This window comes from Homo sapiens, chromosome 4 (assembly GCF_000001405.40).
Source record: "Homo sapiens chromosome 4, GRCh38.p14 Primary Assembly".
NCBI lineage: Eukaryota > Metazoa > Chordata > Mammalia > Primates > Hominidae > Homo > Homo sapiens.
In genome coordinates this window covers 57993022-57998610 of record NC_000004.12, presented here as the reverse complement: position 1 = coordinate 57998610, position 5589 = coordinate 57993022, and the positions used below count along the sequence as shown (strand labels likewise).

Here is a 5589-nt window from a genome sequence, read left to right as displayed (position 1 = left end):
AGTCGTCTCTATCATCACTCTGAAGCCTGACTATCGAAATACATTCATGATTCTTCTACTCTTGCTTTTCTGCCATCACAATACAAAATAATTCATTCATTTAGATTTTCCAGACCTCCAATAACATGTGTGCTATTCTGTGTTGTAAACTTAACTTGCAAGCCTATATCTTTTTGACCATTGTAATTTGTAATTAACCTAGTCACACAGACATTTCACATATAGCTTATTCCCTTGTATGACTTTTGTTTTTGGTGGAAAGGAAAAAAAAAAGAAATGCAATGAAATAAAATCACAAAGAAAAAAGTTATAAATTCTAATCAGAAAGATTTTAAATTCCTCAACACCCAACTAACTCTAAGAATATCTAGAAGTATACTGAATGTGTGTCTTATTGGTTATGTGCCTTTCACCATTTAAAAAAATGTAAAATTCAGGGCAAGTGACTTGAATTCATTGTTTCATTCAAACACAATTAATTGTGTCTCCATTACGTACAACTGCCAATATCTGTTAACAAATAGAAAATTAATAGGTTTGTTCCTGAATTTTTAATTTGCATATAAAAGGTGTATAACTTAGGTGATGACTCATATTTAGTAGCTATTAATAAAGATGTGCTTTTGCTCACCCCTTCCTTCCCAAGGACTAATCATCAGGTCATTGGTTTCTCAATTTAATAGGAAATCCTTATGAAATCAGTAAACAGAATACTAGGCTGTGAAAAAACTTACCAATTCAAATAAAAATCTATTATTTTGTTTGTCGCTGATGAGTAGCTTCAATTGATAGATTATCCGTATCCTCTATCATCAACTATATCTGAAGACAAAATAGACCAAAAAGATTAATATCTGTGAATAAATTGTCATCAGTAGGTATAGTTTGTTCATACCCCAAATAGTCTGAAATAAACCCCTATTGTAAGCTAAATATATAGAGAGCTGATACACAGACATTGGATTAATTCCAGATTATTGAATCATGCTTTAATTAGATCACATAAGAATACATAGAGACTTGATTCCAAAACATCCTAAAAATATGTTAATGAGTATGTTGTTTCTTGTTATATTCATAGTACTTTTGGGGGGAATCTTCAAAAGAAATGTATGTTAGATATTTGGATTAATTATTGTTTTGCTTTTCCTAAAATGTTGAATTGATCTTAAATTTATAGACAGAGTAGATTATTTAACTTGCTAGATTTCCCTCTTTATATTGGCTAGGACAACCAGATTTGACAGCAATAGCTATCTGGAACATAGGTATTTATGAAATGTTTTAAATAATCACATTTGGTTCAGTTTATTAGCTTCTCACTTATTTTTGACAAAAACTTCTAATTTACATTAATTTGCTTTTTAAAACTCTGTTCAGAAGCCATGTGATGTCTTTTTTTGGTTGAAAAGGAGATATTTAATTAAACAATTAAGCAATTAACTATAAAATGTTGACATGAATATGGTTACCTGAGTATGCTTCAAATATGTAGACATTTATGACTCCTGTCATTCTTCATTAATTTTTTTATATCAATGTTGCTAATTCTTTAACCAAATTTAAATGAGATTAGCTAGTTATTCCATGGTAGTCACTGATACAGCTTTGTTTACATTGTCCAATTGTTGCTATTTTAAAGAAACACTGAATTTCCCTACAGCAGCAACTGTTTCATTTTTGTAGTAATAATCTTTGTTTGAGACAATTAGAAGTGATGGGGGCTTTATTAGCTAATTAGTAAGGCCTGAGGAACACTGCTCCACCACCTTAATTAAATCTATTCTAAAATACGCAATGTAAACTATAGTTGGCTCTTAATGAGTAACACATCTTGTCTATTTGGTTCTATTTTTTTCTCCTAAATCTTTTCAATCTCCGAGTTTCCAGATTTCATAAAAAAAAAGGGTGAACGGCTACTGAGAGATAACTCAAACCTTCAAATTTCCTGTTTTCTCAACTGTATTATGACATTCTCTTTTCAAGATAACTTTATTTTAATTCTTTCATTTTTTATTCTTTTAGTCTTTTTATTCTTTTGGCCATTTTGCAAGGCAATTTTTTTTTCTCCTAAAATCACAAGTATATAGGAAATGGAAAAAACCTTTGTTAACCTACTTCTTTGAAAAGAATAAGTAAATTAGCTAATTACATTAATTACAAAATACTCTAATTCTTAATGATATAAAAGACTAAACATACGTATTTCCTATTCTTTTATTAATAAAACTTAAATCGTTCTTCTTCTTCTTTTTTTTTTTTTTTTGAAACGGAGTCTCGTTCTGTCGCCCAGGCTGGAGTACAGTGGTGCGATCTCTGCTGACTGCAAGCTCCGCCTCCCGAGTTCATGCATTCTCATGCCTCAGCCTCCCGAGTAGCTGGGACTACAGGCGCCCGCCACCACGCCAAGCTAATTTTTTGTATTTTTTAGTAGAGACGGGATTTCACTATGTTAGCCAGGATGGTCTCAATCTCCTGATCTCGTGATCCCCTGGCCTCGGCCTCCCAAAGTGCTGGGATTAAAGGCGTCAGCCACCGTGCCCGGCCAATCATTCTTCATTTTTTAATTATTTCTATGATTTTCTTTTTTTTTTTTTAGCTCCTTTCTCCTATAATTAATGTATATTGTGTACCTACTCCGACATCACGATTTGATTATGCTGGAGTATGAATAACTTATTTGAGCCAAAAAGAGAATTGTGATCAAAATACAGTGGAGATGTTCTTTTGTATACAGTTGTTATAAACTTGAAGGAGATTGAAAGCTGAGAGAAAGTAGGAAGGAAAGGCACCTCAGGTAAGGACTGAAGATTATTTTGTGTATTCAGCTAAATCAGTTTACAGCCAAACAGTAATGACAGATCACTCTCAGGTTACTATGTGTATAAGGGTTTTGGTGTTGTCAGAGGCAGCTAGCTACCCATGAAATAGCCATCCTAATCTTTTCCTCCATGAATAGAGCCCTAATTTGTTCCAGTATTAACATGGGCAATGGAAAACTAAATACCCCAGCTTTCCCTGCAGATTGCGGTGGCCATATGATTAAGGACTGGCCAGTGAGCTATAAAGGAGAGAAGGTTTGGATATGGTCTCCTGTGAAACTCCTTTTAAAGGGAGAAGGTGGGATATGTCCCTTGCTTTTTTGTTTGTTTGTGTTTTTTTGAGACAGAGTCTCGCTCTGTCGCCCAGGCTGGAGTGCAGTGGCGTGATCTGGGCTCACTGCAAGCTCCGCCTCCTGGGTTCAAGCCATTCTCCCGCCTCAGCCTCCGGAGTAGCTGGGACTACAGGCGCCTGCCACCATGCCTGGCCAATTTTATTTTTAGTAGAGAGGGGGTTTCACCGTGTTAGCCAGGATGGTGTCGATCTCCTGACCTGATCCGCCCACCTCGGCCTCCCAAAGTGCTGGGATTATATGCGTGAGCCACCGCGCCCGGCCTGTCCCTTGCTTTTATCTTTCCATTTGCCTAGAATTCCGATGTGATGACTAGAGATTCAGCAGCTATTTTTTACCTAAATATATCTGTTCATTGCTGCATCCCAGCCTCTAGAACAGTGCCTAATATGGGACTCAAAAACATTTGTCAAATAAAAGAATCAATCAATTGATAAGTAAAGCAGAAAGCTCTTCCTCAGTAGTTGCTTCGCATTTATCTCTTTCTGAGATTTATTGTGTTAATTTTGAAGAGTGGGATTTTTAAAGCCAAGCTCTGAAATGTTGGTTATATTTATTAGCTACCTGCCCTTGAGCAAGTCATTTACTTTTCATGAACTTTGATTTTAGTATATGTAAACTGAATAATAATTTTTATCTTGCACAGTTGTTGAAAGGACCTGAAATAGCTTATTATATTCCTAACATGTTGTCCTATTATATATTGCAGTTTCTGAGCAACTTGTCCGCAAATGTCATAATTTTGGTTTATCCGATTAATTCTCTAATGAATATAATGCAGAATGACTAAAATTTTTTGAATATATACTGGATGAAATTTTATTATTGGCACCCATAGTTTCTTAAGTATATACTCCATTCCTTTATTTTTTTTATTTCATCATTGTTATACAAACACTCATTTCGGAATGCTATTACATAATTTTTAAAATGTAGCATTAAAAAAGATTAAGCAAAAATAACATATTGGAAAATCTTTATTCTTTGCTCTCATAGTGTTTTCTGTTGACAAGACAGAAATTACAATTAGATTAATAAAATATTGCTTCATATTAGGATGAGACACTCAAGGAGATTTTTCTAACATAGTGGAGATAAGATACACACAGACAACCACGACATAAGCTGATACATGAATTCCATCAGAGAGATTAAAAACAAGAAGAGGAATTCAAGGGAAGGACAGATTTTTTTGTTGGGAGTACCAGAAAAGTCTTTAGAAAAGAGACAGCCTTGCACCCAGGCACTAACAGATGGAGTGAGATGGGAGAAGGGGCATACTAGCTGACAGAACAGCATGAGAAAAGACATAAAGACAGAAAATGTGTTCAGATAGCAATCAATACCGTGGTTTGACTGGATGGTACAAAACATAAAGGGAGAAGAAAGAGATAAGGCTTGAAAAGCATCAGATATGAGCTTCATTACATAAACAATAATTAACCATCTCTCAAAAGGAACATGTCAGTACAACTATGCTCACATACTTCTTTTAATAGAAAGATGAATTCCTGAAAATTGGAGAGGTGAATCAGAGCTCCTTAGAGGCATTGTAGTGTTGTCTCTATGGTGATGCAATCCTAGCATCTTTCACTGGCAGCTGTTTATATTTTTCTTCAATCACCTAAACTCATGACCAGCTCCAACTACCTTTACTATGGCTGTTCAAATAGTGCAGGATCAGAGATATTTCTGATGCTTTTTACAGTTATAATGTTTCCAGAAATTCCTGCTGTCTTTATCTCCTTGTCCATTTCCTAAAACGTGCCTCCAACCACAATAAAAGGTCTATTTAACATTCTGCTTGAAACATTTTCTTTGGTTCTTTTTTACAGTCCAGTCCTATCACTTAAACATCTTAAGGCAGGTATCATGGGTCAAAATAGTTTACCAGACCACATCAGATTCAATACCAGATACAGTGCAAAACATGCAACAGGCAGGCACACTGGCTGAGAGAGGATTAGCATGGCCAGACAACACATATAGAAACAGAGAAGAAATCTTAAATTGTAACAATGTATTATTCCTAGAATTGTATTTTTCTTATTGCCAAACTTTTTCTCTGTTTCATAAACTGAGATCTCACCTTATCCATGAAAGTTTCCATTTTATTGTTACATTTTAATTGCTCTGAGAGAAAAAAGGAAGGAAAAAGGAAGGAAGGAAGGGAGGGAGGGAGGGAGGGAAGGAAGGAGAGAAAGGAAAGAAGGAAGGGAGGAAGGGAGGAAGAGAGAGAAGAAAGAAAGAAAGAAGAGGAAGAAAGAAAGAAAGAAAGAAAGAAAGAGAGAGAGAAAGAAAGAAGAAAGAGATATGGAAGGAAGGAAGGAACAAAGAAAGAAAGAGGTAAGAAGGAAGGAAGGAAGGAACAAAGGAAGTAAGGAAGGAAAAAAAGAAAAAAGAAAAAGGTGTTGCAT

The 5589-nt window shown here is 35.1% G+C and overlaps 1 annotated feature.

The window, feature by feature from the left end:
• Positions 2788 to 3288: an enhancer, noted in NCBI's record as "H3K4me1 hESC enhancer chr4:58861489-58861989 (GRCh37/hg19 assembly coordinates)". NCBI's record gives its function as "activates a minimal SCP1, AML or CMV promoter by ChIP-STARR-seq in naive H9 embryonic stem cells {active_cell/tissue: H9 hESC(naive)}" and the evidence as "EXISTENCE:reporter gene assay evidence [ECO:0000049][PMID:30033119]".